At 38.2% G+C, this 14317-nt stretch overlaps 1 protein-coding gene across 2 annotated transcripts in view; it reads right to left on the bottom strand.

Moving 5' to 3' along the window:
- Positions 1–14317, bottom strand: part of CPD (carboxypeptidase D) — a 91063-nt gene that overhangs the window by 31968 nt on the left and 44778 nt on the right. For both annotated transcript variants that reach the window (NM_001304.5, NM_001199775.1), the window contains exons 7-8: positions 10464–10631; positions 6141–6250 (exon numbers count right to left, since the gene is read on the bottom strand). In NM_001304.5, coding sequence (NP_001295.2) covers positions 6141–6250; positions 10464–10631 — 278 coding nt within the window. The remainder of the gene's footprint in view (positions 1–6140; positions 6251–10463; positions 10632–14317) is intronic.

Genomic DNA, 14317 nt, shown 5'->3' with positions numbered 1-14317 from the left:
AAAAAAAAAAAAAAAAAAAAAGCCACACATGGTGCTACATGTCTGTAGAACCAGCTCCTTGGGAGGCTGAGATGGGAAAATAGCTTGACCCCAGGAGGTTGAGGCTGCAGTAAACCATGATTGCACCACTGCACTACAGCCTGGGTGACAAAGCAAGACTCTGTCCTAACAAAAACAAAATAAAATAAACGATCCCCATCTAGAAACTTAATATGCCAATTATAGGCTTATCATCCCATCACTCTCTTATCAAATAAAAACCATAATTTTAGATTACTGTAATAATTATATGCATGCTCTTTTGCTTTGGTTTTGTTTTGGTTTTGTTTTGGTTTTGAAACTGGGTCTTGTTTGTCACCCAGCTCAGAGTGCAGTAGTGGAAACACAGGCTCACTGCAGCCTCAATCTCCCCACGCTCAAGTGATCCTTCCACCTCACCCTCCTGAGGAGCTGGGACTATAGGCATGCACCCACACACCTGGCTAATTTTTGTATTTTTTGTAGGGATGGGGTTTGACTATGTTGCCCAGGCTGGTCTCGAACTCCTGGGCTCAACGAATCTGCCCACCTCGGCCTCCCAAAGTGTTGAGATTACAGGTGTGAGCCATCACACCGGGCTTGGTATATAACTTTTAGATCTCATTTTTTTAACTTATATACGAATACAGAATGGATCCTCCACCCCTCAGTCTTCTTTAGGTTTTCAAAATCCACTTTATTGAGATATAATTCACATTCCACACATTGACTCCATTTAAAGTGTACAATTCAATGGTTTTTAGTATTCATAGAGTTGTATAACCACCCACCATAATAAATTTTAGGACATTTTCATCACCCCAAAAAGAAACTCTATACCTATTAGCATTCTCCATTTTTCCCCAACCCCTACTCCCCACCCCCACTCCAAACCCTAGGCAACCACCAATCTACTTTCTGTCTCTATGGGTTTGCCTACTCTGAACATTACATATAAACTGAATCATACAATATGTAGTCTCTTGTGACTTCTTTCACTTAGTAGGTTTTTAAGGTTCATTCAAGTTGTACTGTGTATCATTACTTCATTACTTTTTATGGCTGAATAATATTCCACTGTATGATTTTGTATGTCTACTTATCAGTTTGTTAACCCATTCATCAGTTGATGGACATTTTGGTTGCTTCCATTTGGGGCTATTATGAATAATGCTGCTACAAATATTCATGTACAAGTTTTTGTGTGAATACATGTTTCCATTTCTCTTGGGTATATACCTAGCAGTGGAATGCTGGGTCATATTACAATTCTATATTTAATGTTTTAAAGCACTGCCAGACTGTTTTTCAAAGCAGTTATACCATTTTACACCCCACCAGCAATGTATGTAAGGTTTCAATTTTTCCACCTTTGCCTATGCATATTTTCCATTTTTTAAAATTACAGCCATTCTAGTGGGTAACAAGAGGTATCTCATTGTGGTATTGACTTGCATTTCTCTAATGGCTAATAATATTGAGCATCTTTTCATGTGCTTATTGGCCATTTTCTCTTCTTCAGAGAAATGTCCATTCAGATCCTTTGCCTATTTTTCACTTGGATGATTTGTCTTTTTATTATTTAGCCATAAGAGTTCTTTATATATTTTAGATATAACACCTTTATCAAAATATATGATTTACAAAAATTTTCTCTTATTCTGTGGGTCATCTATTTATTTATTTTTTGGGGGCTGGGGTCTCCTTCTGTCACCAAAGCTGGAGTGCAGTGGCATGATCATAGCTCACGATAGCCTCTACTTCTTGGGCTCAAGCAATCCTTCGGCCTCAGCCTCCCAAGTAGCTGGGACTACAGGCACGTGTCACCAAGCCCAGCTTCTGTGGGTTGTCTTTTTACTTCCTGGATGTTATATGTTATGGATTGAGTTGTGTCCTCCAAAAATATATTGAAGTCCTAACCCTCAGTACCTCAAAATGTGATCTTATTTAAAAATAAGTTCCTTACAGAGGTAATCAAGTTAAAATAAGGTGATTAGCATGGGCCCTAATCCAATATGACGGTGTCCTTGTACAAAGGGGAAACTGGGATACGAAGACAGAGGGAGAATGCCGTGTGATGATGAAGGGTTGGAGTGATGCACCTAGAAGTGAAGGAATGCCAATGGTTGCCAGCAAAGCACCAGAAACTAGGGAGAAACAAGGAAGGATTCTTCCACAGTTTCAGAGGGAGAATGGCCCTGCCAACACTGTGATTTTGGACTTCTGGCCTCCAAAACTATGAGACAATAAATTCCTGTTGTCTTAGACCACCCAGTTTGTGGAATTTTGTTACAGCAGAACTAGGAAACAAATACAGTTTTTTTTTGCAGTAAAGAAGTTTTAAATCTGGATTATGTCCAATGTATCAATCTTTTTTTGTCACTTGTGCTTCCGATGTCATATCTAGAGGAGGACCAAATCACAAAAATGTATTCCTATTTTTTCTTAGTTTTATAGTTTTAGTTCCTATATTTAGGTTTATGACCTATTTTAAGCTAATTTTGGGGTGTGGTGTGAGGAAGGTATCTAGTTTATTCTTTTGCATATAAATATCCAATTGTCCCAGCACCATTTATTTAAAAAATCTATTCTTTGCCTATTGAATTGTCTTGGCATCCTTTTCTAAAAAAAAAAATCAACTGACCATCAACATAAGAATTTATTCCTGGGTTCTCAGTTCTATTTCATTGATCTATATGTCTGTCTTTATGCCAGTACCACACTGTCTTAATTACTGTAGCTTTGTAGTAAGTTTGAAATTGGATGTATGAGTTCCCTAACTTTTGTCATTTATTCTTCATTTCAGAGATAATTTTGTCTTTTTCTTCCATTTTTTTCCTGAGTCCTATAAACTTTATTTTATTTATCCCTGTTTTTTGTTTCCTGGCCTCTGTTTTTATTTTTTGACTATCTGAGTTGAGGTAGTTTCTCATATTCTCAACGTATATTTGGGTATACTTAATCTGTTTAGAATGCCAACTGAACAGTTTTCTTCTGCTTCTCGATTATTTTTTGCTAATGGTAGGGTCTCCTTAGTGTCTATATGTGAAGTTTCATTTCCTAATTTTCTGCAATCATTTTCCATGGACTTTATTTTCCTCTTTATTTTTATGATATTGGGCATTTAATATTATTCCTAGCTTAATGGTACACTTTTCTGTCGGTCTAGCAAAATCCAGGTACCTCAGTGTGGTTATTTATTTGTCTTGGTGGTAAGGGTGGAGCTGAGAATCTTCTGATTTTAAAGTTCTTTTCTGTCTTGTAAAACCTTACATTTCTCCCCACTTTTTCCTTTTCCCATTCACCATCTAATTGCCAAGGAGCACTTCTTCATTTCTATCTTTGCCTCTTTTTTTCCTTCTCCAGAAGCTATGAGTTTGGAAGATCTCCCTGTAACCATCCTCTCCTTTTAAATTGTACTTATCCCATTAAATCACACCAGATCCTTTAAGTTGTGTGCATTTTGAAATCTCTTCCCTGTATTCCAGAGCTCTAATCTGCCCAGTTACTCTTTTAGTATTTTTGGATTTAGTGCATATGTGATGTATGGTGGTCATTCCAAATTACCTTCACAGCTGCCCTTCACTGGCACCCACTTCTGTCTTCTCCGTAAGTTTTCTTGGTCTGTTTTACCTCACCACAAAGCCTTGTGGTGGGGCGAAGGTGGGGTAGGTGCATGATAGATCATGCTGAGACTTCTTGATTTTTAAAAAATTTACAGTTATTTTGCAGTTTCAGGATCTTTTGTGATGCCAACAGTGTGGTTTTGTGTAAAATTTGGTAGTTTTTAAGTCGTTTTATATTGTTTAAAGAAAAACCCTGGGAGATAGGTTATCACATAGCCATCATTGTCTTTGGCTGCTCAGATGTCTCCCAAGACTATCTACTTTTGAGAAGTTTTGAAGAGTAAAAATAAAGAAACTTTGAATGGTAGCTTCATGGGGGCTTACTAAGGTTAGCAGAAGACAATATTTTTAGAGGAGCTGCTTATTGACCAAGAGAAAAAAGGCTGTGAGTGAAGACTGGGGAGTTTAATTATCACCTTCCTCATTTATAAAATAAGATATGAAGACACAAGATTCGAGGAGGCAGAATGCAGTGGGATCAAGAAATGGAGGAGAATATTGTTAAGACACACATGAGAAACAATTGAGAAGACAGAATCTTAGTGAACTCACATCAGATTACTCAAAGTTCTACTTGAGTTCAATGCAAAGTGATCTACTATGAATAAGAGGGATAGAGCTGGAACAGGAGGCTCAGATAGAGGATAAAGGCTCTGAATCACCATAGTGGGAACTGAGCCAGGGAGTCAAGTAGCTAAACAGGAAATGTTGCCATGTAGGACTGAGGGTTCAGCTGAAGTTGGAGAGCACACATATGGACTATAGCAAATTGCCGTGACAGTGTGACCACTCTAGGCTGTACTTGTAATATTGGTATGGAGAAAAGAGATAATGGTAATTACTGAGGACTGGAGGGCAAAGCAGTTATGTCAAAGGGGTGTACAAGACCCTTAGGAGAATCATTGAAAAGGTATGTCCATGGGTCTACCCTACAGAGAAAGGTAAATCAAATCAAAAGGGTTAATGGTCTAAGAAAACAAAGAGAAGATAAGGAACTAGAAGCCAAAATGAAGGCGAAAAGCAGAAATCATGAGAATGAGCATAGAATGTGATGAGAAAATATGCAAAATCCAGCCATTTAATTTTTATTTTGATGGTTGGGACACTATACATTCTCTTATTACTCCACGTATGTACTTCAAAAAAACATATATGTCCAAACAGAAAGCAATAATTCTCTAAGGTGAAATGAACAGCTGTACTCCTCTAGTAGAAACTCTGAACAATCTCACAAGATTCATTTGCAGAGGATGAGGGAATGGGAAAAGTGGAAGGATGGAGGACTGTGACTGGAGAGTGCAGAGTTACAGTAATAATATTCATTACCTATAACCAATAATAGTACCAATATAACCAATAACAATACTAAGTCAGTAGTAACACCAAACATTGAAACTAACAAGCTTAGTTTACAAGCCTCAACTTTTAACATGTTTTCTAAGACAATTTTTATTTTTTTGAGACAGGGTCTCAGCTTTGTCACCCAGGCTAGAGTATAGTATTGTGATCAAGCTCACTTCAACCTCAATCTCCTGGGATAGAGCAATCCTCCCACCTCAGCCTCCTAAGTAGCTGGAACAACAAATGCATGTCACCACAACCGGCTAATTTTTTTTTTATTTTTTATTTTTAGTAGAGGCAAGCTCTTGCTATGTTGCCCAGTCTGGTCTCAAACTCCTGAGAGCTCAAGCAATTCTCCTGCCTTGCCCTACCAAAGTGCTACGATTTCAGGCATGAGCCACCAAGCCTGGTCCTAAGAACGATTTTTAAATTAAATTTTCACACACACACACATTTTAACATTCCCGATTGTAAGAGTAATCCATGTTTATCATAGGAAGTTTGGAAAATACAGAAATTTCTGCCTGCTTTTCCTTGCTATATGTAACTACAGGATCTTAAATACCTTAGACTAAAGTTTGGCAATTTTTTCCTGTAAAAAACCAGAAAGCAAATATTTCAGACTTTTTAGATGCAAAAGTCTTTGTTGAAACTACCCAACTTTGCCCTTTGATCACTGGATTTTCCTTCTTTAGTTTGTTAATATAGTAAATTATACTGACTTACTTTGAAATGTTGAAGGAGAAAGCAGCCACACACAATATATAAAAATATAGCTGTGGCTGTGTGTCAATACAATTTTATTTACAAAAACAGGTGGTGGGCAAGATTTGGCTCCAGAGCTATAATTCATTAAGCCCTTATCTTGGCCTACTTTACTGGGCTTATAACTTATTTGTCAAATGAAATAAATTGACATGTATATGTTCCAGGTACTGTGCTAAAACCATAGATAAAAGGCCAATGGAGAAAGACATGTAGTGTATTCAAAAGTGAGGTGGGAAACAGGAGAAAAAGCTATTTTTCGGAAACAGCTGAAAAAGTCATGCTTTATTAACTATGGAAGCACTTGACCTGAGTCTTGCAGGACTTTAAAGCATATTTTTAAATAAAAGAATTAATTTTGTAACATTTTATATTCAAAGACAAGCCTACCTTGGAATAAGAAAGTGCTATTTGTTGGAACACAGCATCATCTGGTGATTTACTATATGTGGCAAGTCCTTGTTCATCATCATCAAAAGGGTAGTTAACCACCAAAGAACCTATAAGGGAAAAGAGGAAAATGTATCATGTTGTCTGTTTCAAGATGGATTATTAACATAAAGCTTTTCAGAATACTGCCAGAGAAGAGAAAACAATAAAATTTGCCAAGCAGAATTTCCTCAACAGAAATGAAAATTACACTAATTTCTTCAATTCAAAGTGAATAAGTGAGAAGATATCTTTCAAATGGCTAATTTTCTAAAGCCACAAAAAAAGATTTATAGTACTTCTACCAAACAGTCTACCTCAAAAAAATAATTAGCATCAATACGGAAAGGACTAGCAACAAAAGAAAAAAACAGATATACGGGATTCCATCAAAATCAAAAACTTTTATGCATCAAGAACATAAGAAAGAGAAAAGACAACCTATAGAATGGGGGAAAATGTTTTGCAAGCCTGATAAGGGTCCAGTGTCCAGTATTTAAAAACTCTTACAACTTAACAACAAAGACAAAAACTCAATTAAAAATTGGACAAAGGACTTGAACAGATATTTCTCCAAAGAAGATAGATAAATGGCCAACAAGCTCATGAAAAGATCCTCGGCATCATTAGTTATTGTGGAAATGCACACCAAAACCAAAATGAGGTCCTACTTCTCACCCACTAGGACAGCTATAATAATAAAAATAGAAAATAATAAGTGGTGGTGAGGATATGAAGAAACTGGAACCTCATACATTGCTGGCGGGAATGTAAAATAGTCCAGCCTCTGTGGAAAACAGTTTGGCAATTCCTCAAAAAGCTTAACATGGAATTATCATATGACAATTTCACTCCTAAGTGTACACCCAAAAGAACTGAATACAGGGGCTGCGTACAGTAGTTCACACCTATAATCTCAGCACTTTGGGAGGCCAAGGCAGGCAGGTGGATTGCTTGAGCCCAAGAGTTCAAGATCAGCCTGGGCAACACTGGGAGACCCTGTCTCTACAAAAAATTAAAAATAAGCCAGGTGTGGTGGTGCATGCCTGCAGTTCCAGCTACTTGGGAGGCTGAGGTGGGAGGACTGCCTGAGCTCAGGAGTTTGAGGCTGCAGTGAGCCATGATCACACCACTTACACTCCAGCCTGGGTAACAGAGTGAGACTCTGTTTCAAAACAAGGGGGGCACGGGGAAAAGAAAACAGGAACTCAAATAGATATTTGAATGCCAATGGGCATAGAAGCATTTTTCATTGTAGTCAAAAAGTCAAAACAACCCAAATGTCCATCAGTACGTAAATGGATAAAGCAAATGTGATATTGATATATACATATGTATATACAATGTACTATTATTCAACCATAGAAAGGAATGAAGTACTGATATATGCCACAACATGAGTGAACCTTGAAAACACTATGCTAAATGAAAGAAGCCAGACACGAAAGGTCACATGTTATAGGATTCCATTTCTATGAAATATCCAGAATAGGTAAATCCCTAGAGACAGAACAAAGATTGGTGGTTACCAGAGGTTGAGGGGAGAAGGGAAAGGGGAGTCACTGTTAAATGGGTGTGGGGTATCCTTTTGCGGAGATAAAAATGTTTTGGAACAAGATAGAGGGGGTGGTTGCAAAACACTATGAATGCACTAAACGCCACTGGAATTATGTAAACTTCACCTCAATAAAAAAATTAGTATCAAAATTTTTGAAATTTTATGAAAAAGAATATTGCTTTCCCCTATCTTCTTTCAAGATCCTTCTAAATTATAAAGATGGCAGGGAAAGGAATCAGAACATTCTGCCCCAGAATATAACTCTTTAGCATGTTAATTATTTAGAGCTGAAGGCAACTGAGAAACAGCAGATGCAGGAAAGGCTATCTACCCTCCCTCTTTCTGCCTAAAATTAGGGCATAAATTTCCCGTGAGAAAGGCACCTTCCTGGTACCATCAGAGATGGGATAGTCAACACCAAGATGAGTTGACACAAACAAACCTTAGTAAAATAACCCTCATCTTTCATTAGTTTCCCCCGCATATTTCCTAGTCACTTTCCCACAATTTTTTACCCCTAGAAGTCTAAACCCCTTCCTTTGTGTAGTCACTTTTCCACAAGGTATTACCCTTTGTTATAAGAGCACTAAGTCCTTAACACTGCTTTTTTGAGGGTTTCACGTCTTTCCTATGAACTCCCCCACTGCCTGTTGCCTGTGCCACATACAAACATCAAATAAAATTTGTATGCTTTTTTCTTTTAATCTGTCTTTTATCAGCTTAATTCACAAGCTCCAGCTGCGGACTCTATGAGGATTTTTTACTCCTGTACAGCAACAAAGAAATTCTCCTTCAAACTGCTTTGCCAAGATTTCAAACTCCATTTAAATAAGGATTTTAAGATGAGAAAACAAAATATGTCATGGAAAGAAAAATGTCTGCATGACTGAAGATTCCTACCTCTCACCATGCCAAGGTCTGGACACCACATCTGTAAATCTGTGACTTATTTTCACTGGAATGTAACTATTATTAACTTTCCAGATTTAGCCAACATGATGTGTGATTTATTATGAGACTATTTTTAAAGCTCTAAATAAGTGAATTTTATCAAACATAGCATTAAACACATAAAATATAATAAAAGAAAACAAAAAATTTATTTTGCCAACCAGGGTATAACTTCATAGTTCTTATTTGACTCTTTGAGAACAATATATGATTACCAACTGTAGAAGTACTTTTTTCTACTATTGGCAATCTTTCAAAGCAATTTTTGGAGAATCTCAATTAACCTCCTAAATCTAAATATCCATCAGTATGTACTGTCATTCTAAAATGGCAGGCTACTCTATATGACATGAAGTCTCCACTATGGTACTTCTGGATATTCCAGTAAATGTTGAAACTAAATTTCTTCCCCATTGCCCCTGGTGCTAATACTTGTCACTTTTTTTTTTTTAGTAGTTTTACTGATGTAATTCAAATACCATGCAATTCACCCATTTAAAGTTGTTTATATTCACAGGGTTGTACAACCACTACCACTATCCAGTTATAGAACATTTTCATAACTCCAAAAAGAAACCCCAAAATCCATTAGCAGTCACTCCCCTATCACCTCTTACCACTATTCACTCCAGCCCAATACAATCTTTAATCTACTTCCTGTCTCTATGGATATGCCTATTCTAAAAATTTCATAAAAATATAATCAACTTGATAAAGAAAAAAATAATAATCATGCACTATGTGGTCTATTATGACTGGCTTTTGTCACTTAGTGTAAGGTTTCAAGGATCTATGTTGTAGCATGTATCAGCACTTGATTCCTTTTCGAGCCAAATAATATTCATTGTAAGGACAGACCACATTTTATTTATCTATTTATCAGATGATGGTTGTTTGGGTTGTTTCAACTTTTTTGTTATTGTGAATAATCCTGAATGAACGTTCATGTACATTGAACATTCATATACATGAGCACTGTACATTAAATGAGTGAACATTTTGTTCAAGTGAGTTTATGTGTGGACACAGTTTGGTTCTCTTGGGTACTGATATCTTCACTCTTATTCGCAACCTTAGTTGGACATTGTGGCGATTTTTAATCTTGACACTCATCCTATTCAACCGATCCATCCTGCTAAATTATATGGAGGTATATGAGCTCAGGTACTACATGAGAATGTGGTCACTCTGCTGCAGTTAAGGATATACCAAGTAAAAAAGAGAATATCAAAATCTAAATTTACATAAAAGAGTTTATTAAACTTCAGGGAGAAAACAGAACTAAACATTTGGATCAATTTTTATGAATGACAAAGAATATGTTACCAAGTTCCCAATGTGAGAGATAAATACAAAATACCTGAAGAACTATGAGAGGAAGAGGAGAGGAGGAGGAAGAACAGAGTAGGGGGACAGGCGGGGGAGAAGGAGAGGAGAGGAGAAAAAAGACAAGACAGAGAAGAAAGGGGAGAGGAGGTAAGAGAAGGGAAAGAGAAGTAGTAGGTGAGAAAAGAGAGGAGAAAGGGGTGGAGAGAAGAGATGGGGGTAAAAGGAGAAGAGAAGAGGAGGAAAAAAAGAGAGAAAGAAGGAGGAAAGAAACAGCCAGGACACTGGCTGAAAAAGTAATGAGAAAAGACCTTTACTGTTGTCTGCCATAAGAGCAGTAACAGGATACTCATTTTAAGAAAGCATAACACTACAAACAGATAAAATTCCACCAGGATTTCCAAATGCTCTCAACAAGAACTGATTAGTAGAATATAAAGTTGCCATACCTCCATGCAGGTTTGCTGAAAGTACAAATGGATAGGACTTCATCCAGCTCATTACAGCAATAGTTTCTGGTTGCGTAGGATCTGTGATCTGAACAAACTGGTCTGGGAAATTTCGGTTCAGGTCAAAGTTGTTGCTGTTGTTTCTGCCAATTACACTTATTGAATCTCCTGTATGATATGATAAAGGATTTGAATATAAGCCATGTTCACTTATATTTTATTCCAACACGTACTACTTTAGATACCTTAACTCAAGGCAAATGTGAACACATCAGGCTTCGCTATTATCAATCACCTATGATTATGAAACTGTCTTTGCAAAATTATAACAGTAAAAGAAATCTGACATGGTTGACTCCGCCTTTTTTTTTTTTTTTGAGATGGAGTCTCACTCAGTCACCCAGGCTGGAGTGCAGTGGCGCAATCTCAGCTCACTGCAACCACCATCTCCCGGGTTCAAGCGATTCTCCCATCTCAGCCTCCCAAGTAGCTGGAATTACAGGCACCTGCCATCATGCCCAGCTAATTTTTGTATTTATTAGTAGAGATGGGGTTTCACCATGTTGGCCAGGCTGGTCTTGAACTCCTGACATCAGGTGACCCACCCCCCTCAGCCTCCCAAAGTGCTAGGATTACAGGAGTGAGCCACCACGCCCAGCCAGACTCCACCTTACTTCTAACCTCCAAGCTGTCCTTGGTCATTCCTGGGCATCGGCCAAGCTAACTTTGGGAGAAATTTAGCTTACAGTTTAATCTTAAAGCAAGGATGATAACAACCTTTCCCAAAACTAAACCACCTTTGTAAAACTAATGAAAGGTCACAAGGTTGGGATTATAAGAGGGGCCTGAATTTGGCTAACATGTATGTGTAATTAAAGGATAACCAGTCATTGTTTTGGAAGTTGTTAAGATTTGTAACTTCCTCAACTACTCCTGTAGATAACATCACTACTGTAGAACCTAAGATTGGCCTTCTGAGATGTTATTCTGACTTTTGCATTTCTGACAACCAGCTGACGTCACCTGGACCAGTGAGTGAGTTGTAACTCAGCTGGTCCTGTGGTTCCCAACTAGAAGCTGACTCAGCACATAAGGACTGTTTTCCACATCCCTATGATTTCATCCCCAACCAATCAACCCATTCTCTAGTCCCTTGTCCATCAAACTATCTTTGAAAAACCCTAACCTCTGAGCCTTCAGGGAGACTGATTTGAGTGATAACTCCAATTCTCCTGCGTGGCTGGCCTTGCATTAATTAAACTCTTTACTGCGATACCATGGTCTCAATGAACTGTTTTGCCTGTGCAGCAGGCAGGAAGAACCTGTCAGGCATTACCTCTTTTTTTTTTTTTTTTTTTTGAGACGGAGCCTCGCCTTGTCGCCCAGGCTGGAGTGCAATGGCACAATCTTGGCTTACTGCAACCTCTGCCTCCTGGGTTCACGCCATTCTCCTGCCTCAGCCTCCCGAGTAGCTGGGATTACAGGTGTGCGCCACCACGCCCAGCTAATTTTTTGTATCTTTAGTAGAGATGAGGTTTCACCATGTTGGCCAGGCTGGTCTCGAACTCCTGACCTCGTGATCCACCCACCTTGGCCTCCCAAAGTGCTGGGATGACAGGCGTGAGCCACAGCACCTGGCCAGGCATTACAGTTAAAACACATCTTTTTCACATTGCGTGTTTAAAAACTGTATCTCTTCCAGATATTTTGAACAGAGAGGTAAAACCATTATCTTTTTATTTTTGCCCTCTGCTCATAATCTGGGAGGAAAAATATTCCAATTAGACAAATTATATTAAAGCACTGTTTAAGTGTCAATAATCCACATATAATGACATTATCACAATGTTGAGTGGAAATTACTGATCAGAGGGGAACTCTATTTGTTTTTTTTTTTTTTTTTGAGACAGAGTCTCACTCTGTGGCCTAGACTGTAGTGCAGTGGCGCCATCTCGGCTCACTGCTACCTCCACCTCCCAGGTTAAAGCAATTCTTGTGCCTCAGTCTCCCGAGTAGCTGGAATTACAGGTGTGCACCACCACGTCCAGCTAATTTTTTGTATTTTTAGTAGAAACAGGGTTTCACCATGTTGGCCAGGCTGCTCTTGAACTCCTGGTCTCAAATGATCCATCTACCTCGACCTCCCAAAGTGCTGGGATTATAAGCATGAGCCACCACGCCTGGCCAGGAACTCTATACTCCTCTCTGTACTTGTATAAAGCTCACTAAGACATTGTAAGAAATAGAGCAAATGAAAAGAAAATTGTGATATGCTCACATTAAAGTGATCACAAAAAGGTAAAGTTAGCCAAGAGCACAGCTGGAAGTTTAACCTGATGGAGGAGAAAGTTCAATTTAAGCTTAACTGTGCATATTCCATTTTAATAGGGAGTGGGAGCCTTACTATTGTCATTATAATGAGAAAAATTGCAAGAGACTAAAGAAAACTGGAGGGCTCACTAGTGTAATTAGTTCCACCTTTCAGAAAGGTCTGGGGAGTATGTAGAAGGGACTTGTGGCACTGACAAAGAATGAGAACCTTAGGGGGAAAAATCTGAAATATATACATATATAAGTAAGATCTTGTGCCTATTTGTTCAAGTGAGCTTCTGGGGTACTAATGACCAACTTCTGGGTACTAATGACCAACTAATGACCAACTGATCCTCCCAATGGTCAGGTCAGTGCTAGTAATAAGTCATGAGGCTCCATATTATACTATGGTGCCTGATAGATATCATTGCCTGGAAGAAATCATGGGCTGGGAAAAGATGAATTCTTACTCCCCTAGTGTTGTGCATAAGGGTCTGCTGTCCCATCCCACACTATAACGCCCCAGGAGAGATGGGCTTGCCCAGGGAAGGCAAAGAAATGAGAAGTCAATAAATTAGCAAGTCTGGAATATGCAGAGGGAGTAGAACTGAGAGTCAAAACAGAGTCACTGACTCAGACAGATATCTGGTTTGGTTTTTCACTTATGAAATAAGGTTCCCAAAATAATGATTTAATAAGAACTGTAAACCCAAAACAAAATTCTAAGGCCCCGCTCAATAGGCAGGGCCTATCTCAACAGATTCCCTCCTCTTGACCACGGCACTCCAAAGTTAACCTGAAAGACTGGTTCAGGCCATGATGGGAAATGGGGGTCAGACATGCCTCATTATGCCTCCTCTCTTTTGGAAATCAGGAAAAGTCAATCAGCATTAATACCAACACAGACCTTAAGTCTGATAAGAAACATTTACAATCTATTCTCTGTGAAGCCTGCTACCTGGAGGCTTCATCTGCATGATCAAACTTTGGTAACTACAACCTCTTATCCTAACCCAGACATTCCTTTCGATTGATAATAAATCTTTCAACCCTCGCCCGATTTCTGGACCAAGCCAATGTATATCTTAAATGTGTCTGACTGATGTCTCATGTCTTCTTAAAATGTTTAAAACCAAGCTGCACCCTGACTACCCTGAACACATGTCCTCTGGGTCTGAGGGCTGTGTCATGGGCCATGGTCACTCATATTTGGCTCAGAATAAATCTCTTCAAATATTTTACAGAGTTTGACTCTTTGTCAACAGAACTATTGCTAAAATAAAACAATTTATAAAAGTCTTATACTCTATTTCTAGTAAATTAGAACCATTACCAAGTGGAAGACACCACTAAATATATAAATTTGATCACCTAATTGTTGAACAGACCAGATCATCATATAAGAATACAAGAGCTAAAATCAATCATAAATTAAAAGGAAAAAAAATTGGAAGAAATTCCAAAAGAACCAGTTCAAATTCTCTTCTCCATCAAAATAATCATTCTATATGATGATCAAATGATTAAGAATTAAATGCTAT

Source organism: Homo sapiens, chromosome 17 (assembly GCF_000001405.40).
Source record: "Homo sapiens chromosome 17, GRCh38.p14 Primary Assembly".
NCBI classification, from domain to species: domain Eukaryota; kingdom Metazoa; phylum Chordata; class Mammalia; order Primates; family Hominidae; genus Homo; species Homo sapiens.
This window is presented reverse-complemented; position numbering and strand designations above follow the sequence as displayed.